Genomic DNA, 23,908 nt, shown 5'->3' on the forward strand with positions numbered 1-23,908 from the left:
TGCTAAATGATGAGGTAATGGGTGCAGCACACCAACATGGCACATGTATACATATGTAACAAACCTACACGTTGTGCACATGTACCCTAAAACTTAAAGTATAATAATAATAAAATTAAAAAAAAGATTAAAACCCCCTTGTGCCATAATAATCTAATTAGTTACAAAGTTTGCTACAGGGCTCTTCCTTAGCTGAGGTCTCATGATTACTCAGTCAACTCCACACAGTAATAGAGTAATATTCATGTTCTAAACAAATTCTTATGTGGTTTGTTTTGTTTTTAATAACTGTGGATTAATACCTGAGAAAACTTCTTCAGCCCAAGTGCAGCCCAAACACAAAGAAAGAAGGCAAGCAGGAAAGATGACATAGATTCATCAAAGATGACATTCATAAAAGGAAACTGAATGAGTTCAAGATTCATAAAATTTTAATATGTTAAATAATTATTGAATCTACCAAGTAAAAAGATATATAATTTGATTCTGTATTCTAAAACTGGATTAACTAATTCATTTAACACTTATCCCTAGTCAAGAATATTTAGACCTGCACCTAAAATTAATCTGCCTTTGATGTAGCTGCAGTTCATTCTGTGTTTCCTCTGACAGGGAATTGACGTGAAAAGAATGGAAACATAAAAAGGAAAACGGAGACCTTTCATGAACAAAGTAGAATTCCTTGGAAATGTGGTGCAGGTTGACATTATGTGGTGAGAAATTAATACATTTCTCAAAGATTCTTGGCCTAATCGTTCCGTGAAAGCATGTGCTAGTACATTGGTACTTGGCTGAGGGAAATGTAGAAAATACAGACATCTAAATACCTTAACACAGCAGTCCCCAACCTTTTTGGCACCAGGGACAAGTTTCATGGAGTTTTTCCATGGAGGAATGGGGATCAGGGAGGGAGGGTGGGTGGGTTTGGGATGAAGCCGTTCCAACTAAGATCATTAGGCATTAGATTCTCATAAGGAGCTGTGCAATCTAGATCCCTCGCATGCGTAGTTCACAATAGGGTTTACTCTCCTGCTGCTGAGCTGACAGGAGGCAGAGCTCAGGTGATAATGCTTGCTAGCCGAGGCTCACCTCCTGCTGTAAATCACCTGTTAGCTGATTCCTAACAGGCCATGGTCCAGTACCCATCCTCGGCCCAGGGATTGGGGATCCCTGCCTTAACATGTAATCCTATCTCTGTCTCTTTCTTTTTTTTTTTTTTTTTTGCTTGACAGAGAGTCTCACTCTGTCACCCAGGCTGAGTGCAGTGGTGTGATCATGGCTCACTACAGCCTCTGTCTCCTAGGCTCAGGCAATCCTGCCTCAGCCTCCTGAGTACTGGAACTACAGGTCCCACCATGCCTGGCTAATTTTTGATTTTTTTTTTTTTTTTGGTAAAGACAGGTCTCACTATGTTGTTCAGCTGATCCTGAACTCCTGGACACAAGTGACCCTCCTGCCTTGGCCTCCCAAAGTGCTGAGATTACAGGCATGAGCCACTATGCCTGGCCATCCTCTTTTTTTATTTGAACTAAATATACACTCTCTACAGAAAAAGTCAAAAATACAAATAAGGAAAATATTTAAATAACTAACTAAAAAGAATCACACTATCCCAAACCAACCAGTATTAACATTAGCATACATTAGTGATGTGATTTCTATCACTATAGATTACTTTTGTCTGGTCTAGAATTTCATATAACTCTCTATGTATACTCTTTAGGTCTGATTTTTTTCACTTAACATAATACTTGAGATTCTTTCATGTTTTCCATGCATTAGTAGTGTGTTCCTTTTAATTCTGAGTAGCATTCTATTGTACAAATATACCACAATTTGTCCATCCATTTTCCTAATGAACACCTAAGCTGCTTCCATTTTGGAACTACTATGAATGAAATGTTATGAACAGGTGTTTGCATGGACGTGTGTTTTTATTTCTCCAGTAAATATCTGGGAATGAAATCATTGTGTCATATTAGGTAAGAGTATGTTCACTTATTAGAAAATACCGAACTATTTCCTAAATGGTGGTAGTGTTTCACACTCTTAGCAGTAGTGTATAGTGTGTCTGCTGTTTGACATTCTTACCAACATTTGCTGGTAGTTTTTTAAATTTTAGCCATTCTAATGGGTATGTAGAGTATCTTATTGTGGCTTTCAATCTGCATTTTTCTGTGACCAGTGATGCTTAGCACCTCTTATGTGAAATAACAAGAAATGTTTTTATATGGTTTTTCTATAGTATTTGGTCAAATCTTTTTTCCCAATTTTCTTATTGAACTGTTTTTCTTTTTAATATTGAATTGTAAGAGGTCATTATATCTTGGATCTAATCTTTTCAGACCTATATATTGCAAATATTTTCTCCCTGTGACTTATGTTCTCAGTTTAATGGCACTTTTCAATTTCTTATTACAGTGATGGATTTAGCATGGAGTGCGTGTATGTGTGTGTGTAGTCTGTAATCACATTGAGGAAGAATACATCTATTCTTATTTTCTGGAAATTTTTATTAGGAATGAGGGTTGATTTTGTCAAAGGCTTTTCTAGCATCCATGATAAAATTATATGATGTTTCTTTCTCCACCAATTAAAATGGCAAATTATATCACTAGATTTCCTAATATTAGCCATTCTTACATTGTTAGTATAAATTCCACTCAGTCATAGTGTATTATTTTCTTAATGAAGTATCCAAGTTTCTCAGTTTATATTTTATTTAGGAGTTTTTCATTAATAATTATAAGTAATATTTATCTATTAGCTTCTTTTTTGTGTTACATTTAACAAAATTGAGTCATGGATGTTATACTTGTTTTGTAAAAATACTGTATACTTTAAAAAATTTTCTCTGAGTAATTTATATAGCATTGACACTAATTGGTCTCTAAAGTTTTTAAAATTATTCTGCAAAACCATCTGGCCCTGCTGTTTTTTCGGGGTTTTTTTTTTTGTTTTTTTTTTTTACATTGTAGTTCCTTGATAACTCCTCTATTTCTTCTGCACAAGTGAGTCTATTTAAGCTTTCTATTTTTACAGAGATCAGTTTTGGTAAACTGTCTCTTTCTAAGAAAATATTCATTTTATCTAAGTTTTCAATTTTGTTTGCATAAAGGTGTACAGAGTAGCATCTTGTGATTTAAAAAATTTTTTCTGGCCGGTCACGGTGGCTCACACCTGTAATCCCAGCACTTCGGGAGGCTGAGGCGGGCGGATCACGAGGTCAGTTCAAGACCAGCCTGACCAACATGGTGAAACCCCGTCTCTACTAAAAATACAGGAATTAGCTGCGCCTAATACAGGAGGCTGAAGGAAGAGAATCGCTTGAACCCGGGAGGCGGAGGTTGCAGTGAGCTGAGATCACACCACTGCACTCCAGCCTGGGCAACAGAGGGCGACTTCGTCTCTAAAAAAAAAATTTTTTTTTCTCTGTGTTAATCATCATTTCCACTTGTTGTTTATTATTTCATATTTTTCTCCTTTTTTTCTTGAACAAATTTACTATTAATAGTAATTTGTTTGTTAATTTTTCCAAGGACCCAGAATTTTGGCTTATTGGTTTGATATGCTTTTCAATTCTGTACCTTATTAATTGCTTTTTTTTTTATCATTAGTATTTGCCTCCTTGTGCTTTTTTGGGGTGTCTTTTGTTTTATTTCTAGGTTTTTGAGTTGAAAGCTTTATTTTTACTTTTCACTTTTTATAAGACTTGCTGTGCTTTTTGGCACACAGATATTTGTAACTTACCTCTTCATAATGAATTACAGCTTTTAGTATTAGAAGGTGTCCAATGTCTCATTTAATTTTTATTGCCCAGAATTCTCCTTTATCTGATATAAGAGTCAGAACATCTGCTTTTTTATTATTTCCCTCTGATTGTGTTTTTGTTTTATCTGTTGTGTCTTTGTGCACGCCTTTAGTTTCAGCTTTTTAATGCCATGTTTTGGCCATATTTCTTGTATACAGGCTAATGTTGGCTTTTCCTTCATAAGCCAAATTTAAAATGTTTTTATTTTAATAGACAAGCGAAGCACTTTCATCTTTATTGATATAATGGATGTACTTGGTCTCAACTGGATCATATCATCATACTTTATGTGTGCTATGTATATTATGCTGTGTTTCTCTCTTTGGTGTGTTTATTATTATTTTTTAAATTTTCTGGTAGTAGGAAGGTTTGTATTTTTATTCTGTTGGCTATCTTTATGTGTATACCTTTTGTTATGCTCTTAAGCCCCTTCTTTTCTTACTTAACATTTTACTATCTGGGAAGCCAATTTAAATGGTATCCTTTGACTCCCACCTGCTACCTACACAGCAGTCAAGAGTGGTCTATTTTCCCCTTTCTCTCTGCATTTACTTCCTAGTCTTTTAGTTGCATTTTTTCTACTTCATCAGAACATATAATATCTACACATTATTTTTCCAAACGTGCCCTCACTTTTTGTTTTAATCTTAGCTCTACAATTAAATATAGTAAATGCTCACTAGTTTTCATTTTGTTGATGTTTCCGCAGTTATCTCTAGGCTGGAGGATACATTCATTACCTTCCTCCAGAGGGGCGCATGTGGACAATATTGTCTTAATTTCCCCCTCTTCTTTCCTTCTTCCCCCTTCTGCCATACTTTATGTACTTATCTAATTTCCCCACATGCAATGTTTCTCTAAGTCTGTCACCTTTGGTCACTTCCAAGCTCCTTCCCTATAGTTGGTGTTGTGAATTACTAAGTCCCAGATCTCTGTTGAGTTTTTCATCCTTAGTGTTGGACTTTCTCATTGTAAGGGTGATTTTGTTTATGCCTTATCCGTGTCCTCTGTCTCTCTCTCCTCTTTTACTTTCAGACCCCTAGGTCTGCTTTCCTCACTTCACACATCCATGGGTTTGTAGCAATAATGCAAGCTCTGTTGGAACTTGTTCATTTCTCTAGGTACAGGAAATACAAAGTTCATGGTAGTCTCTGCCTCCTGGTTAACGCCAAAAGTGTGACCCTTGTGAGGTTTTATTTGCACCCATTGATCTTATGTTCTGGGGAGAGGACATGAGAGGAGAGTTGGATTCAGACAGCTATCATTATCTTCCAATCTTTCTCTGTTGTTATTGAGGTAGACTGTTAGATCATTGATTTGTAGTCTTGCTTTTTTTCTAATAATTGTCCTTGTAATCATTGCTCTGTTTCATCCACAAGGTTTGATGTTTGTATATTTATGTATTTATTTTTATTTTTTGAGATGGAGTCTTGCTGTTTTGCCCAGGCTGGAGTGTAGTGGCAAGCTCTCAGTTCACTGCAGCCTCTGCCTCCTGGGTGCAAGTGATTCTGCTGCCTTAGCCTCCTGAGTAGCTGGGATTACAGGCATGTGCCACCACGCCTGGCTAATTTGTGTATTTTTAGTAGAGACAGGATTTCACGATGTTGGTCAGGCTTGTCTCGAACTCCTGACCTCGGTTATCTGCCCGCTTCGGCCTTTTGAAGTGCTGGGATTACAGGCATGAGCCATGGTGCCCGACTGATGTTTATTTTTATTATAATTTAGTTCAACATATTTTCTAATAACCATTATGATTTCATCCCAGATCCATGAATTATTTATAAGTGAACTATTTTTAAATTTCCAGACATATGGTGAGTTTCTAGTTATCTCTATGTGATTGGCTTCCAGCCTAATTCCACAATGACCACAGAATCTTTCTTCTGTTTTTAATCCTTTGAAATTTGTTGAGACGTTATGACCCAGCTTATGGGCAATTTTGGTAAATTTTCTATGCATACTATGGTTGTCAGTATCAGTGTTTTATAATGTCAATTTTTCTAAATTGTTTTGTTCAAATAATCTATAACTTTACTGATTTGTAAACTGTTTGTTCTATCTGGTACTGAGAGAGGCTTATTAAAATATCCCACTCTGATTACAGATTTGTTTTTCCTGTATTTCTTTGTTTTATATATCATGAGATTATGTTATTAAATACATTCAAATTTAGAATATCTGTCTCTTTCTGGTGAACTAAACCTTTTAGTTCACCATTTTTCATTTTGTTGATGTTTCTGCAGTTATCTCTTTTGCTCTGGTCTCTCTATGCTTCAGACTGATAATTTCTTTATTTCTTTTAACCTGTCATTTAGTTTGGTAATTCTCTCTCCAGTGAATCTGCTGTTAATCTCATCGATTTAATTCTGAATTTCAAATAATGATTTTTATAGTTATAGAATTTCGTTTTTATCTTTACTATTTGCAGTCCTCTGCAAGAGTTCTTAAATTGTTCTCTATTTTAATAAATATATTTGTCATGATTTTTTAAAGTCTGTGTCTGGTTACATAGTTACCTGTATAATCTGTGAACTTTTTCTTTTTCTTATTTTTACAGAGTTATAAATTATTAGTAGTGTTTTTCTTATTTTACAGAATTATAAGTTATTAGTAGTGTTTTTTGCCTTTAAGTACATTTGGTCTGGTATGAATATAACTAAACTAACTTTATTTGGATAATATTTGCATGCTATTCCTTTTCCGTGGTTTTACTTTCAATCTTTCTAATATGCTGATATTTTCAGTATCTCTTCTAATCAGTATATCATTAGACTTGGTTTTATTATTCTTTATGACAATATCTGTCCTTTAATTTATATTCAATTATATTAATTACATTACATTTTAAATCTATTATCTTACTTTTTGCTTTCAATTAGTTATATCTAAATAATTATTTTCCTTTTCTTACCCTTCCTGTAGCAATTGTTACTATCCTTTATTCATTGTCGTAGAAGTTATACTAATCTTTTACCTGTGATCTTTAGGGTTATAAAATGCATCTTTGACTCATTGAAGTCTAATATATATATTGATACTTCTATCTCTTCCCAAATAATGTAGAAGCCTTAGAATTCCTTCATTTACTCTTTCTTTCTATTTATTGTGGTTTATTTTAATTCTATATATATATTTAAAGTGTTAAAAGATATAGCGTTTGGTTATATGGTCAATTTTAGCTTATATGTACCTACCTATATCAGTCTTCCAAGAATCTTGCAGGAGTGTCTGATGTTGACAGCTTCTCTGTTTTTCTTTGTCCAAAATATATTTATGTCACCATCCATTTTTGAACTTTATTTTAATTGGGTGTAAAATTTGAACTCAGCAGTTACTTTCTCTCAGAAATTCAAGGAGTCAACTGGCTTTCATTGTTGGTTTTGAGAAAGCAGATGTCAGTTCTGTTGTTGTCCTTTAGAGGTAATATGTCCTTTTCCATTTGGCTGCTTTTAACATTTTTTTCTCTTTTTCATTTTTTTGAGGTTTTATTATTATATCTATATGTGTAGCTTTCTTTTAATTTACTCTGCCAGAGTTTGTAGGGCTTCTTTATGTAGTTTTCTGCTCTTGCTCATATTTAGAAAATTTCCAACCATCAATTTTTCAAATATAACCTAAATTCTTTCTGAGGTTCTATTCACTATATTTCTTATGCTGTTACAGCTTTTTTTTTTTTTTTGTATATTTCATTCTTTGGCCTCTCTGTGCTTCAGACTGATAATTTCTTTATTTCTTTTGACCTATCATTTAGTTCGGTAATTCTCTCTCCAGTGAATCTGTTGTTAATCTCATTGATTTAATTCTGAATTTCAAATAATGATTTTTATAGTTATAGAATTTTGCTTTTATCTTACTATTTGCAGTCCTCTGCAAGAGTTCTTAAACTGTTATATATTTTAATAAATATATTTGTCATGATTGTTTTAAAGTCTGTGTCTGGTTACATGGTTACCTGCATAATCTCTGAACTTTTTCTTTTTCTTATTTTTATTCCCAGTTTCCTACAATTTATTTTACTTTTAATTTTTTTTAAAAATTTCCACAGGTTATTGGGGAAACAGGTGGTGTTACATGAATTGGTTACATGAATAAGTTCTTTAGTGGTGATTACATGAGGTTTTGGTGCACCCATCACCCAAGGGGTGTACACTGCACTCAATATGTAGTCTTCTACCACTCACCCCCTTCCCACCCTTGCCCCCTAAGTCCCAAAGTCCATCGTGTCATTCTTATGCCATTGCATCCTCATAGCTTAGCTCCCACTTATGCATGAGAACATGCAATATTTGGTTTTCCACTCCTGAATTACTTCAGTTAGAATATTAGTCTCCAGTTTGTATCCAGGTTGCTGTGAATGCCATTAATTCATTCTTTTCATGGCTGAGTAGTATTCCATCATATATATATATATATATATATATATATATATATATATATATATATATATATATACCACAGTTTCTTTATCCACTCATTGATCGATGAGCTTTGGGTTGGTTTCACCCTTTTGCAATTGTGAATTGTGGTGCTGTAAACATGCATGTGCAAGTATCTTTTTTGTATAATGACTTCTATTCCTCTGGGTAGATACCCGGTAGTGGTGTTGCTGGATCAAATGGTAGTTCTACTTTTAGTTCTTTAAGACATCTCCACAATGTTTTCCATAATGGTTGCACTAGTTTACATTTCCATCAGCAGTGTAGAAGTGTTCCCTGTTCACTGCATCCACACCAACATCTACTGTTTTTTGATTTTTTGATTATGGCCATTTTTGCAGGAGTAAGGTGGTATCACATGGTGGTTTTGGTTTGCATTTCCCTAATCATTAGTGATGTTGAGCATTTTTCCATATATTTGTTGGACATTTGTATATCTTCTTTTGAGAATTGTCTATTCATGTCCTTAGCCCACTTTTTGATGGAATTGTTTGTTTTTTTTTCTTGCTAATTCGTTTGAGTTCATTGTAGATTCTGGATATTAGTCTTTTGTCAGATGTATAGATTGTGAAGATTTTGTCCCACTCTGTGGGTTGTCTGATTACTGTGTTGACTTTTCCTTTTCCTGTGCAGAAACTCTTTAGTGTAATTAAATCCCAGCAATTTAGATTTGTTTGTATTGCATTTGCTTTTGGGTTCTTGGTCATGAAATCCTTGCCCAAGCCAATGTCTAGAAGGGTTTTTCCAAAGTTATCTTCTAGAATTTTTATAGTTTCAGATTTAAGTTCTTGATATATCTTGAATTGATTTTTGTATAAGGTGAGAGATAAGGATCCAGTTTCATTCTCCTACATGTGGCTTGCCAATTATCCCAGCACCATTTGTTGAAAAGGTCCTTCCCCCACTTTATGTTTTTGTTTGCTTCATCAAAGAGAAGTTGGCTCTACATATCTGGCTTTATTTCTGGGGTTTCTATTCTGTTCCATGGGTCTATGTGCCTATTTTTATACCAGTGCCATGCAGTTTTGGTGACTATGGCCTTATAGTATAGTTTGAAATCAGGTAATGTGATGCCTCCAGATTTCTTCTTTTCGTTTAGTCTTACTTTGGTTATGTGGGCTGTTTTTGGTTCCATATGAATTTTAGGATTTTTTTTTTCTAGTTCTGTGAAGAATGATGTTGGTATTATGATGGTAATTGCATTGAATTTGTAGATTGCTTTTGGGAGTATGGTTATTTTCACAATATTGATTCTACCCATCCATGAGCATGGAATGTGTTTCCACTTGTTTGTGTTATCTATGATTTCTTTCAGCTGTGCTCTGTACTTTTCCTTGTAGAGGTCTTTTGCCTCCTTAGTTATGTATATTTCTAAGTATTTTATTGTTTTTGCAGCTTCTGTAAAAGGGGTTGAGTTCTTGATTTGATTCTCTGCTTCGTTGCTCTTGGTATATAAGAGAGCTACTGATTTGTATACATTAATTTTGTATCCAGAAACTGCTGAATTCTTTTATCAGATCTAGGAGCTTTTTGGTGAAATCTTCAGGGTTTTCTAGGTATACAATCATGTCATCAGCAAACAGCAACGGTTTGACTTCCTCTTTAACAATTTGGATGCCCATTATTTCTTTCTCTTGTCTGATTGCTCTAGCTAGGACTTCCAGTACTAGGGTGACTAAAAGTGGTGAGAGTGGGCATCTTTGTCTTGTTCCAGTTCTCAGACGGAATGCTTTCAACTTTTCCCCATTCAGTATTATGTTGGCTGTGGGTTTGTCATAGATGGCTTTTATTACATCGAGGTATGTCCCTTGTGTTCTGATTTTGCTGAGAATTTTAATCGTAAAGCGGTGCTGGATTTTTTCAAATGCTTTTTCTGCATTTATTGAGATAATCATGTGATTTTTGTTTTTAATTATGTCTGTGTGGTATATCACATTTATTGACTTATATATGATAAATCATCCCTGCATCCTTGGTATGAAACCCACTTGATTATGGTGCATTATCTTTTTGATTTGTTGTTGGACACGGTTAGCTAGTATTTTGTTAAGGATTTTTACATCTATTTTCATCAAGGACATTGGTCTGTAGTTTTGTTTTTTGGCTATCCTTTCCTGGTTTTGGCATTAGGGAGATACTGGCTTCAAAGAATGATTTAGGGAGGAGTCCCTTTCTCTCTCTTTTGGAATAGTGTCAGTAGGATTTGTACCAATTCTTCTTTGAATGTCTGGTAGAATTCTGCTCTGAATCCATCTGGTCCTGGACTTTTTTTTTGTTGGTTATTTTTTATTACCATCTCAATCTCACTGCTTGTTATTGGTCTGTTCAGTGTATCTAATTCTTCCCGATTTAAGCTATGACTGTTGTATCTTTCCAGGAATTTATCCATCTCCTCTAGATTTTCTAGTTTATACGTGCAAAGGTGTTCGCAGTAGCCTTGAATGATCTTTTGTATCTCTGTGGTGTCAGTTGTAATATCTCCTGTTTCATTTCGAATTGAGCGTATTTGGATTTTCTGTCTTTTGTTCTTGGTTAATCTTGGCAATGGTCTATCGATTTTATTTATCTTTTCAAAGAACCAGCTTTTTGTTTCATTTTTCTTTTGTATTTTTTGTTTCAATTTCATTTAGTTGTGCTTTGATCTGGGTTATTTCCTTTCTTCTCCTGGGTTTGGGTTTGGTTTGTCCTTGTTTCTCTACTTCCTTGAGGTGTGACCTTAGATTGTCTGTTTGTGCTCTTTCAGACTTTTTGATGTAGGTGTTTAGGTTTTGATAGGTTGTGTTACTATTGTCATTCAGTTTAAAACATTTTTAAAATTTCTGTCTTGATTTTATTGTTGACCCAATGATCATTCAGGAGCAGGTTATTTAGTTTCCATGTATTTGCATGGTTTTGAAGGTTCCTTTTGGATTTGATTTCCAGTTTTATTCCACTGTGGGCTGAGAGAGTGCTTGATATAATTTCACTTTTCTTAAATTCTTTGAGGCTTGTTTTGTGGCCTATCATATGGTCTAACTTAGAGAAAGTTCCATGAGCTGATGAATAGAATGTATATTCTGTGGTTGTTGGGTAGAATGTTCTGTAAATATCTGTTAAGTCCATTTGTTCCAGGGTATAGTTTAAATCCATTGTTTCTTTGTTGACTTTCTGTTTTGATGACCTGTCTAGTACTGTCAGTGGAGTACTGAAGTCCCCCACTACTATTGTGTTGCCATCTATGTCATTTCTTAGGTCTATTAGTAATTGTTTTATAAATTTGGGAGCTCCAGTGTTAGGTGCATACATATTTAAGACTGTGATATTTTCCTGTTGGACAAGGCCTTTTATCATTATGTAATGTCCTTCTTTGTCTTTTTAATGGCTGTTGCTTTAAAGTTTGTTTTGTCTGATATAAAGATAGCTACTCCTGCTTGCTTTTGGTGTCCATTGCATGGAATGTCTTTTCCACGCCTTTACCTTAAGTTTATGTGAGTCTTTATGGGTTAGTTGAGTCTCTTGAAGGTAGCAAATAGTTAGTTGGTGAATTCTTACCCATTCTGCAATTCTGTATCTTTTAAGTGGAGCATTAAGGCCATTTACATTCAACGTTAGTATTGAGATGCGAGGTACTGTTCCATTCATTGTGCTAATTGTTGCCTGTATACCTTGGCTTTTTGTGTGTGTGTGTATTTGTTTTATAGGCCCTGTGAGATTTACGCTTTAAAGGGGTTCTGTTTTCCTGTGTTTCCAGGATTTGTTTCAAGATTTAGAGTTCCTTTTAGCAGTTCATGTAGTGCTAGCTTGGTAGTGGTGAATTCTCTCAGCGTTTATTTGTCTGAACAAAGATTTGTCCAAAGGAAGATTGTATCTTTCCTTCATTTATGAAGTTTAGTTTTGCTGGATACAAAATTCTTGGCTGATAATTGTTTTTTTAAAGGAGGCAAATATAGGGCCCCAATCACTTCTAGCTTGTAGGGTTTCTGTTGAGAAATCTGCTGTGAATCTGATAGGTTTTCCTTTGTAGGTTACCTGGTGCTTTTGCCTCACATCTCTCAAGATTCTTTTCTTCATCTTAACTTTAGATAACCTGATGACAATGTGCTTAGTCAATGATCTTTTTGTGATGAATTTCCCAGTGTTCTTTGTGTTTCTTGTATTTGGATGTCTAGGTCTCTAGCAAGGCTGGAGAAGTTTTCCTTGATTATTCCCCCAGATAAGTTTTCCAAACTTTTAGATTTCTCTTCTTCCTCAGGGAATGCTGATTATTCTTATGCTTGGTCATTTAACATAATCCCAGGCTTCTTGGAGAGTTTGTTCATTTCTTATTCTTTTTTCTTTGTTTTTGTTGGATTGAGTTAATTATGAAACCTTGTCGTTGAGCGCTGAAGTTCTTTCTTCTGCTTGTTGGATTCTATTGCTGAGATTTTCTGGAGCATTTTGCATTTCTCTAAGTGCATCCATTGTTTCCCGAAGTTTTGATTGTTTTTTGTTGATGTTATCTGTTTCACTGAAGATTTCTCCCCTCATGTCTTGTATCATTTTTTAAATTTCCTTACATTGGGCTTTGCCTTTCTCTGGTGCCTCCTTGATTAGCTTAATAACTGACCTTCTGAATTCTTTTTCAGGTAAGCCAGGGATTTCTTCTTGGTTTTGATCCATTGCTGGTGAGCTGCTGTGATTTTTTTGCGGGTGTTAAAGAACCTCATTTTGTCATATTGCCAGAGTTGATTTTCTAATTCCTTCTCATTTAGGTAAGCTCTGTCAGAGGGAAGGTCTAGCGCTCAAGACTGTCGTTCAGATTCTTTTGTCTCATGGAGTGTTCCCTTGATGTAGTACTCTCCCTGCTTTCCTAGGGATGTGGCTTCCTAAGAGCTGAGCTGTAGTGATTGTTATCTGTCTTCCAGATCTAGCCACCCAGCAGATCTACCAGGCTCCAGGATGGTACTGGGGGTTGTCTGCACAGAGTCCCGTGATGTGAACCATCTGTGGATCTCTCAGCTGTGGATACCAGTACCTGCTACAGTGGAGATTGCAGGGGGGTAAACTAGACTCTGTTAGGGTCCTTAGTTTTGGTTGTTTAATGCTCTATTTTTATGCTGATTGGTCTCCTTCCAGGAGGTGGCACATTCAAGACAGCATCAGCTGTGCTCATATGGGGAGGATCAGGTGATGTGTGGGGCCCTAGAACTCCCGAAAGTGTATGCCCTTTATCTTCAGCTATCAGGGTGGGTAGGGGTGGACCATCAGGTGGTGGCAGGGCTAGGCCTGTCTGAGCTCAGACTCTTCTTGGGTGGGTCTTGCTGCGGCTGCTGGGGGGGATGGGGTTGTGGTTCCCAGGTAAATGGAGTTATGTTCTTAGGAGGATTATGACTGCCTCTACTGTGTCATGCAGGTTGTCAGGGAAGTAGGGGAAAGCGGGCAATCTCAGGTTTCACTCAGCTTCCATGAAACCCAAAAGGCTTCAGAGTCCTTACACAAAAGGGGATTAGGCAGGGGACCAGTCAATAGAGCTCTTGCTCCATTTCCCCCCCTAGTCCCATGAGGTAGCCAGGAGTTCTATTCATTGTTTAACCCTGTAGCCATGTCTTTGGGAATTGGCAGATAACCTGTAAAGAAAATCTTCTCAAAATCTAGAGTTACCAGGCTCACATCACCCAATTTCAACCCCATAATTGTTAACTGCCTTACATACTTTAAAGTACGTACATGGAAGACAAGCTTATAGCAATGGTAGACAGCGTATTTTAGGAAAATCCTCTTTTTGTGAACAACTAGAAAAGCTAGAAAACATATTTTCAAATCTATTTTCTGGTATCTAAGAGCCAATGATGTGCTCCAATCATCACATCTACTAACCTAATTGCATCTTTGCTCATATACTCTGCCTTTCCTCTTGTTACAATGGATGTGCTCTCCTAGCTTCTACAGCAAACCCCTTCACTTGGATTACTGAATTTTATTCCATTTCACCTACTCAAGAACCTAGCTCTGGAAATTATTGCTTCTTATAAAAAATATAATCCCATCTTAAAAATAGACACTTTAAACAAAATGAACAAACATGCCTTCCTCTATCCTATTAACATTTTCTGTCGCCTTTATAGTAAAATGCTTCCAAAGCATTGCCTATTATCATTTTCTCTATTTATTTTCATTCCATTCTTTCTTGAATCCACTCTAACCAGCCTGTTTCTCATTATTCCACCGAACTTTTTATAAATAATATGATAACCTCTCATTTCCAAATCCCAAAGTCTCCAATTTCAAAATCCTGTGATTTCCTTTCTCATTGCTTAATAGTATTTCCTTGTGTATATGGACCACATTTTCTGGTCCATTCATCTGTTATTGAACACCTAGGTTGATTCTGTATCTTGGTTATTGTAACTAGTGCTGCAATAAACATGGGGGTGCAGATGTGTCTTTGATATACTGATTTTCTTTCCTTTGGATGAATGCCCAGTAGTGGAATTGCTGAATCATATAGGTATTCTGTTTGTAGTTTTTTAAGGTACCTTCATATTATATCCATAGTATCCATACTAGTTTACATTCCCACCAAGAGTGTATAAGAGTTTCCTTTTCTCTGCATCCTCATCAGCATCTGTTATTTATCCTGACTGGGGTGATATGATATCTCATTGTGGATGATTTGCATTTCCCTTATGATAAATAATGTTGAACATTTTTTCATAAATTTCTGGCCATTTGTATGTCTTCTTTTGAGAAATCTCTATGCAGATCATTTGTCAATATTTTAATCAACTTTTTTGTTTTGCTGTTTAGATGTATGAATTCCATTTATATTCTGGATATTAATCCCCTGTCAGATGAATAGTTTGCAAATATTTTATTCCATTTTTAAGTTGTTATTTCACTCTGTTTATTGTTTCCTTTGCTGTGCATAAGATTTGATATAATCTCATTTGTTTAATTTTGCTTTTGTTCTCTGTGCATTTGAGGTCTTATTTATAAAATCTTTTTCCCAGACTACTGTCCTGAAATATTTCCCCTATGTTTTCTTCTAGTAGTTTAATTGTTTTGGTTCTTACATTTAGATCTCTGATGCATTTTGAGTTCATTTTTGTGTAATTTGAGAGGTGGGAGTATAGTTTCATTCTTCTGCATATGGATATTTACATTTCCTAGAACCATTTATTGAAGAGACATTCCTTTCCCCAATGAGTGTTCTTGGCGCTTTTCCCCAAAATCAGTGCCTTAGTGGATAAGCAAATTATTTCTGAGATCTCTATTCTGTTCCATTGGTCTATGTCTCTGTTTTTGTGCCAGTATCATGCTTTTTTGGTTACTATAGATTTGTAGTATATTTTGAGTTTGGTAGGGCCTCCAGATTTGTTCTTTTTGCTCAGCATTGTTTTGGTTATTTGGCATCTTTTGCAGTTCCATATGAATTTCAGGATTTTTCCTATTTCTGTGAAAAATGTCATTGGTATTTTGACAGGGATTATACTAAACCTGTAGAATGCTTTGGGTAGTATGGTCGTTTAAATATTACTTCTTCTGATCCATAAGCATAGTATATCTTTCCATTTATTTATATGCTCTTCAATGTTTTATAATTTTCCTTCTAGTGGTCCTTTACCTCCTTAGTTAAATTTGTTCCTAGGTATTTTATATTTATTGTTAATAGCATTGCCTTTTAAATTTCTTTTTCAGCTAGTTCATTGTTCATGTGTAGAAATGCTACTGATTTTGTATGTTGATTTTGTATCCTACAACTTTATGGAATTCACTTATTCATTCTAAGAGTATGTTGGTAGGGTGTTTAGGTTTATATATTTATAAGATCCTGTCATCTGCATATAGGAACAATTTGACTTTCTTTTTTACAATTTGGATGCCATTTATTTCCTTCTCTTGCCTAATTGCTCTGGCTAGGACTTCCCATACTATATTAAATAAGAGTGGTGAGAGTGGGCATTTTTGTCTTGTTCTGGCTCTTAGAGGAAAAACTTCCAGTTTTTTTTTTATTCAGTATGATTTTAGCTGTGGGTTTGTCATATATGGTCTTTATTGTTTTGAGTTACTTTCCTTTTATGCCTAATTTATTGAGATATTTTTTATCATAAAGCGATGTTGAATTTGATCAAATCCCTTTTCTGCATCTATTGAGATAATCATATGGTTTTTATCCTTCATTCTGTTTGATGTGATGCATCACCATTATTGATTTGCATATGTTGAACCATCCTTGCATTCCTGAGCTAAATTCTACTTGATCATAATGTGTTATCCTTTTGATGTGTTGTTGGATTTGGTTTGCTAGCATTTTGTTGAGGATATCTTGTCTATATTTATCAGTAATATTGGCTTGTAGTTTTCTTTTCTGGTTTTGTTATAAGGTTATGCTGGCCTCATAGAATGAATTAGGAAATTATAGTAAGTATCAGGAAAGCAATGATAAGTGTTTGAGACGATGGTATGTTAATTACCCTGGTCTGATCACTATACATTGTATGTATCAAAACATCACTGTGTAACTCATAAATACATATAATTATTATAAGTCAATTAAAAATTTTTGAAGCCTCCAATTCCACCTCAATTCACCCATCAGAATAAACTCTAAAGCTTTATCCTTTTCCTCATTTTTTTGGACTAGTTTAAGAAGAATTTGTATTAATTCTTCTTTAAATATTTGGTAGAATTCAGCAGTGAAGCCATCCAGTTCTGGAGTTTTCCTTATTGGGAGACTTTTTATTACTGATTTAGTATCATTACTTGTTATTGGTCTTCTCAAGTTTTCTTTCTTCTCAGTTCAATCTTGGTAGGTTGTAGGTATCAAGCAATTTATCTATTTCCTCTAAGTTTTTGAACTACATGGATAGAACTGGAGGACATTATTTTAAGTGAAATAAGCCAGGAAAAGAAAGTTAAAAATTGCATGTTCTCATTCATAGGTGGAAGCTACAAAAAATTAAAATAATAGAAGCAAAAAGTGGAACAGAAGATACTAGAGGCTGGGAAGAGGAGGAAAAGGAGGGCATAGGGAGAGATCTGTTGAAGGATACAAAATCACAGCTAGATAGGAGGAATGAGTTCTAGTGTCCTATTTCAGTGTAGGATGATTATAGTTAACAATAATATATTATATAGTTTCATGTAGCTAGAAGATAACATTGAATTTTCCCAACCCAAATAATAAATGTTTGAGATGATGGATATGATAATTACTCTGGTCTGATTACTATACATTATATGTAATTAAAACATCACTATGTACCTCATAAATATGTGCAATTATATTATGTCAATTAAAACAATTTTAAAGTCTCCAATCTCATCTCACTTGACTGACCTGAATAAAATCGAAAGTTTTATCATGGCCTCCATGGTTAGATCTGCTATCTTCCCACCTCCCATTTCCCTTGTCTGCATCTATCATGCTACCCCTTCTAACTCCCCTTCAGCCACACCAAGTTCTTTGCTGAACCTTCACTAGGACGATTACACACCTGCCTCAGAGCCTTTCCACTTGCAGTTTCTGTCAGAAGCATTTTCCCTCAAGATATCTGTATGACTTTCTTCTTTGATTCTTTAAGTTTTGGCTCAAATGACAAGCTATCAAAGAGGACTTCCTAGGTGACCTTATTCAAATTAGCACACACTGCATCATTCATTATCTGATCTCATTGCTTTGCTCTATTTTTTATTGTTGGCATTTATCACCTCTTGACATATATGATTATCTGTTTATTGTCTCCCCCACCTAAATGCACCTCCATTGGAATAATGACATGGTCTGTTTTTGTTCAGAGTTGTATGCCCACAACTTGGAAAAGCACCTGGCACATGATAAACCTCAATAACTATTTACTGAACGCATTTTAAAAACAGGAATAATTTGAGCTAGTCATGAAAACATGGCCAGAAAATTTACTAATTTACATTCATCAAATTTTGTTACACTAAGTAGGTTAAAGCAATGGAGCCCAATTTAATTAATTTTCCACTTCCCCAACAAAATCCTAATAATAAACAAGCTGATGAGGAAAAAAACCTAATAATCACTTACCAGATTTGGGAAAATGGAACAGTGAAAAAGAGACCTACACCTGGTGGACTTGAGTGTGGGAAGAACTCTATAACACATCTGAGCTCCTGAAAAGTGTGGGCTACTGTAATGCTCACCTGCTAATTCAGCTAATGTTGTGAGCTCCAGCTTGAACCCTCATAATTTACCCAGCAAATAAATTACAGAAGACAAGTTGTGGTGATTGGTCCAAGAGAAGGCAGGTCATATTCATCACCAAAAAATATACTAAAAGAGAACCCCTCCATACCAGCCAACAATAAGCATATTTTATTTTGTATGCCAGGGTGTGAAATGAAGGGAATGAGTAATTGATGCAATTTTTGTTTTTCCTTTTACCCCAAATTAAAAGTCTTCATTTAAAAGGAAAATCATTTTAGTTTGCTGTAGTTTTGCAATTATATGGGACTTATTTCTTTGGAGATGATTATAGGAGGACCTAACATACCACACATGAAACTGTTTTCTACTCATACAGATAAATGGAGATTTTGTAAGACAAGAAATACATGTGGGGTTAGATTGCCACCTAGATTTATCTTTCTTAAAATACAGTTTCCTTACTCTAAAATATATAATGCCTGTGTAATGTCTCAGCCTTATTTATCTGACATAAAAGAAGTTCTTTTTTCTTTCTTTTAAGTATCACCTTAAGAAATCTCCTAAACTCTCTCAGTATGAAGTATTAGGTTAATAACACCTAACAAAAGTGTTATGGGACAAAGGGGCACGAGGATTTGTCTAATGATAGAAGAAATTCTTGTCATCTAAATTCATTTTATTTTAATTTCTAAAGGAGATTAGTGTCTCAATACTTCAATAAATGTTTTAAGTGAAGTTGTAGGTGTGCATATAGTTCATTGCAGTGCATATCATCCTATTGCAGGATGTTGAAGATTTTGGTTAAGCTAGAAGTACTCCAAATGCAATAAATATTTACATTTCAGTATCTTTGAGTCAAGTGTTAATACAATATTCCTAATGGAAACAGAAAAGCAATACATAAAATATCAACACAAGAAAGCTCCTAAGTTAAAATATAAAAATATATTCTTAGTGCTAACATTTTCTCTGAGAATTGAGAAAACAATCACAGGTTTTGTTTGTCTGTCTGCATCATGGTGACTATAATAAAAGCGTAACATTTCTCTTAATTATCATCTGTGGAATATTCACATATACCTATAATAATCTAAATAATGGTTTCTGTACATACAGTAGTGTATATTATTCTGAGAACAAACTCTGTCCTATACTCTGTCATTCTTATGTGCTCTTGAAAGAATCCCAAGTGGCTCCTAACCTTTATTGGGAAAAAAAAATCTATAAGAGATCCCCAGAGGGATTCTCAAAACAAAACAGAGAAAAAGAGGGATAAGAGTTGCAAAGATTTCTAAAGCCTGGAGAAAAATAAGTCAGTGTCATAAAATCAATGACCTGACAAGACTAAAACTTTTATTTCTCTCTGTTGAGTCTCAATGCTAGGTTAGCTTTTGTATTGTAATTCTTGAGCTAGGTAGAAAGGATCCTGGAAATGCTAAAATACAAATACAGTAGTCCCCTCTATTCCATGGGGGATACATTCCAAGACCCCCAGTGAATGTCTAAAACCTCAGATAATACCAACCCTATATATACTTTTTTTCTTATACATATATACCTGTGATAAAGTTTAGTTTATCATAATTAAGCAGAGTAAGAGATTAATTAATCATAAAATAGAACAATTATAACAATATATCGTAATAAAAGTTATGTGAATATGGTCTCTTTCTCTCTCTCTCTTCCTCAAAATATATTATTGAACTGTGCCCACCTATTTTCAGACTACATTGAAACCACAGAAAATAAAACCATGTATAAGTGGGGACTACTGTAAGTGTAATTTCTGAATACTTCATAGATTCTCTGAACGTAATTTCTACCTGTAAATTCAAGGTTGACTTTGCTCGTGTCACATGAAAATATGCAACGCTTCCTTGAAATAATTCTGTGTTTGCAATATTCACTTTCAAATAAATTTCATTTCACTGTCTCTGCACTGTTTGTAGCATCCCTATATTATTAGTGCAGTTTGAAGACCAGAGACTTAAAGAGCTTCACATTTTCTGGGACTCCTTTAATGTCAGTGGAGTGAAACCCAATTAGAACTTGGGTATAGGGGGTGGAAAGTGTAAATATAGGTGGCATATTTGTTTCCTCCTGCAATCCCATCAAAACAACAGTAAATATACATATTTAAAGGGATAAACACTCAAAGATTATATAAGTAGGGAAGCGGAAAACACCGAAGATGTCACATTTGTTTCCAGGCATATCCATTTTAAAAGAAAACTCCTAGCCCATGAGAGCATTTTAAGTAAGAAGCTTCAACATATTTTGGGCAGAATGAAGGCAGCTAATGAAGCAGTCATTGACACAGCAGAGGTTGAAGCCCCTTAAAGCGTGGGAAGTGATTGTCCTTTGGAGCCAGGACAGAGAGTGGTGGGAGGACTCCTGCTTTTTTCTTAAGTCTTTCAGCACCACGTACTTTATAGAAATGTATTAACTTCATGAAAGTAAAAACTAATGTACTAAATTAAAATTAAAGGAAATTATTGGAAAGATAATAGCACTTCTCATGGAATATGAAGGATTGAAAAAAATATCTGTGGGTAGGTTACTGTGCTAGTCAGTAGTGCTGTTTGATAAACTATTTCCTGGTTGTTCCCCAGTGTAGCCATATGGTTTGTACTTCATGCCCCTGCCATATGGTTAGGTAGGGCAATTTAACCACTCCTGGTTAATGATTTGTGAACGGAAGTGGTAAGTGGCATTTCTGGACCTGAGTATTTAATTATTGGTGAGAGACCCTTCAGAGCGTGTTCATTTCCCTCTGACATGGGGAGCAACAACATGGAAGAAGGGTCTGCTCCATACACCAGGGTCCCTACATGATTGTGATGATCCAGTCCTCAACTGATCCCTTATAGATATGAAAATGTACAAGAAATAAACCTGTATTATTTAAACCGCTGTGATTTGGAGGTTATTCATTACTGTTAACCATCCTAATAATGTTGACCATCCTAATACAATTAGGAATACAGCTGGACCTACAGGACAGTCAGAATCAGAGACTCTCTGTCTGAGTTCCCATCTCTCTTTTCTGTGAACATGCAGCAGCAAGGTAGTTGTCCAGTAGCTCCCAGGCTTCACATCTCACAGCATCTGTCGGAAGACAGGCACCAACTTTCTTCCTCATTTTTAGGTCAGAAACTGGGGAAACACTTTTATTGCTGTGGCTGCTCTCCTGAGCCAATAAAGGGAGATCAGTGGTTCAGAGTCAGGAAATGACAGATAAGAGCATGTAAGAATCATCTAACCACATGATTCGGAAGAGAGTAGGGCATGTCCCCAAAATGGCAGAGTAATGTTTCCAGGACAAAAGAAGTTGCTGAACCGACAAAATAATGGACATCTACTCCAAGTTACTGTCAATTTAATTTATACTTCCTTAACATTTTGGTGTTTAAATAAAAATATTTAACATCTATTATATAATCTTTGATTACTTTCACAGTTTCATGGTGCATCATTCATTAAACGTATCAGTGACCACTCTAGATGGCTATGTGGAACGATGTGTAGTGTTCCAACAAGCCATGCTCTTTCATGCCTCCGTGTCTTTGGCACAACATGGAATGCCCTTATCTCATTGCCTATGTACCCAAGTCTACTGATTCCTAGAGACTCAACTCAAGTGTTAACTACCTCTGAGAATCTCCCCAGAGACAGTGTGCCTTAGTGTAAAGAGTCCAAGCTTCAGACTCAGAGAGATGCAGGCTGAACAGCCATTGTGCCATTTACTAGCATGTAAACTTGGTCAACTTACTAATCTCTTAGAAGTCTAATTTCAACATCTGTAAAATGATAATAATGACAAATTTACAAGTTTTTATAGATTAGAAATAACAGCATGCATGTATAGTTCCCAGAACATAGTCTGTAACAGCTAGAAAATATGTATTCTATATCTCATATTATATTATAGTACGATTTTCTACATGTATACTTGTCTTTCACAGTAGTCTTCAAGTTTCCTGGATAAGTAATATGCTTTACTCATCTTCAGTGAATATAGCTGTTTCTAGCGCATTAGAACTGGGGAGTTTAAAACAGTTCCGCTTGCTGATTCTTATCCTAGAGACACTGCTTTAATTGATGTGGGATGCAGCCAGGGCATTGGTGTTTTTAAAAACACCAACTTCCCTTGTGGTGTTAATGTGCAGCCAGGGCATTGGTGTTTTTAAAAACACCAACTTCCCTTGTGGTGTTAATGTGCAGCCAGAATTGAGAATCACAGTACTAGGTGCTCAGATATTTGTTGAATGAATGTTGTTCATTCTACAAGGCATTTCTAAGGCTCTACTAAATGTTTCGCTTACATAAAACTTTTACCTTTAACTTTAGGGAAAGCCTATAATCTTAGCAAAGGTGACCATTTAATGAGATATATTACTCTGTTGCACTTTGGAAGAAACAAATGTAATAGACAAGGAGCTCAAGGCTCAACAAGGTTGATTACGGTTGACCATTCCTTTTCTATCTCATGTGGAGACCTTATGCTTCATCTCTAAGCAGCTGCCCCGGGATAACCAGTAGTGTGTGAGTTGCATGGGCTTCAAAATGAGAACTGCCTATCTTAAAAAGTGGGGAGCAAAGGATACTGAAGACATGTTTGTCTTTTCTTTTCTCAAATTTCTGTTTATAAGTTTTAAATTTCTAGCTAGGTTTATGATTGTATATTTCTTCCACTATGAAAATATGCTGAATAATAAATATCTATTCTGTTTGACAGAGCAGATAATATCTTTCCTCCTTCTAGGCATACTCCTGAAATGTGAAATGAATAAATAAATATGTATCTCCACTAAATTGATATATTTGATATATAAATTGATATGAACTGATACAAATTGATATGTATATATATATCTCAGCTGTTTATAGCATTAAATAATAACAAATTGAATTTGCATTTTTTTAAAGATGCATGGGCATTTATGCTGTTTCTTAGTTTTTAATTAAAGTGTACAATTGATGGTGAAGATTTGCAGCAGCTCCAAGTATTGCCCATTAAATAACATTTGTTGTCAAAGGATTATTTATTACCGTGGTTAATAAACAAAATGGATTTTAGAAAAGTCTAAACTCTACAATAGCTTTCCATTCTTTTCTTTCCTTTTTGTCTTTGATGTTCTTTAAGCAAATGTCTAATATACCACAATGTCACCATGACTTATAACGATTTGAAATTACAAAGAAAATCCAAGAATAACTATCTTAATCCCTTCCAGACCTTATGCCTCATCTGTAAGCAGCCACCAGTGGATAACTAGTAGTGTGTAACTAGCATGGTTTGATAAAAAATTAGAATTATTTCAAAAAGGATAGTTTCAAAATGATCAAATCTGGATGCTAACTTACATTATTTGAAATACTCAATTTTTAAACTAATTGCACGTAATTGTTTTGACGACTCAATTTAATGGATTTCCATTTTTTATTTTAAAACATGTAGCTATCCCTGACCATCATTGGGACATAGATTATTATTTCTTTGGACCTCAACTTCCAGGATTGAAC

General features: G+C 35.1%; 1 long non-coding RNA gene across 1 annotated transcript in view, besides 1 other annotated feature; it reads left to right on the forward strand.

Annotated features, from left to right (window-relative positions):
• The window catches only part of LOC105371953 (uncharacterized), a 155,413-nt gene that overhangs the window by 97,893 nt on the left and 33,612 nt on the right, over positions 1 to 23,908 (forward strand). Inside the window, exon 6 of the long non-coding RNA XR_001753318.2 lies at positions 613 to 713. This is a non-coding gene — a long non-coding RNA (uncharacterized LOC105371953). The remainder of the gene's footprint in view (positions 1 to 612; positions 714 to 23,908) is intronic.
• Positions 11,420 to 12,143: an enhancer, noted in NCBI's record as "OCT4-NANOG hESC enhancer chr18:1208318-1209041 (GRCh37/hg19 assembly coordinates)". NCBI's record gives its function as "activates a minimal SCP1, AML or CMV promoter by ChIP-STARR-seq in naive H9 embryonic stem cells {active_cell/tissue: H9 hESC(naive)}" and the evidence as "EXISTENCE:reporter gene assay evidence [ECO:0000049][PMID:30033119]".

The sequence above is a fragment of the Homo sapiens genome, chromosome 18, assembly GCF_000001405.40.
Source record: "Homo sapiens chromosome 18, GRCh38.p14 Primary Assembly".
In the NCBI taxonomy this organism is placed as follows: Eukaryota; Metazoa; Chordata; class Mammalia; order Primates; family Hominidae; genus Homo; species Homo sapiens.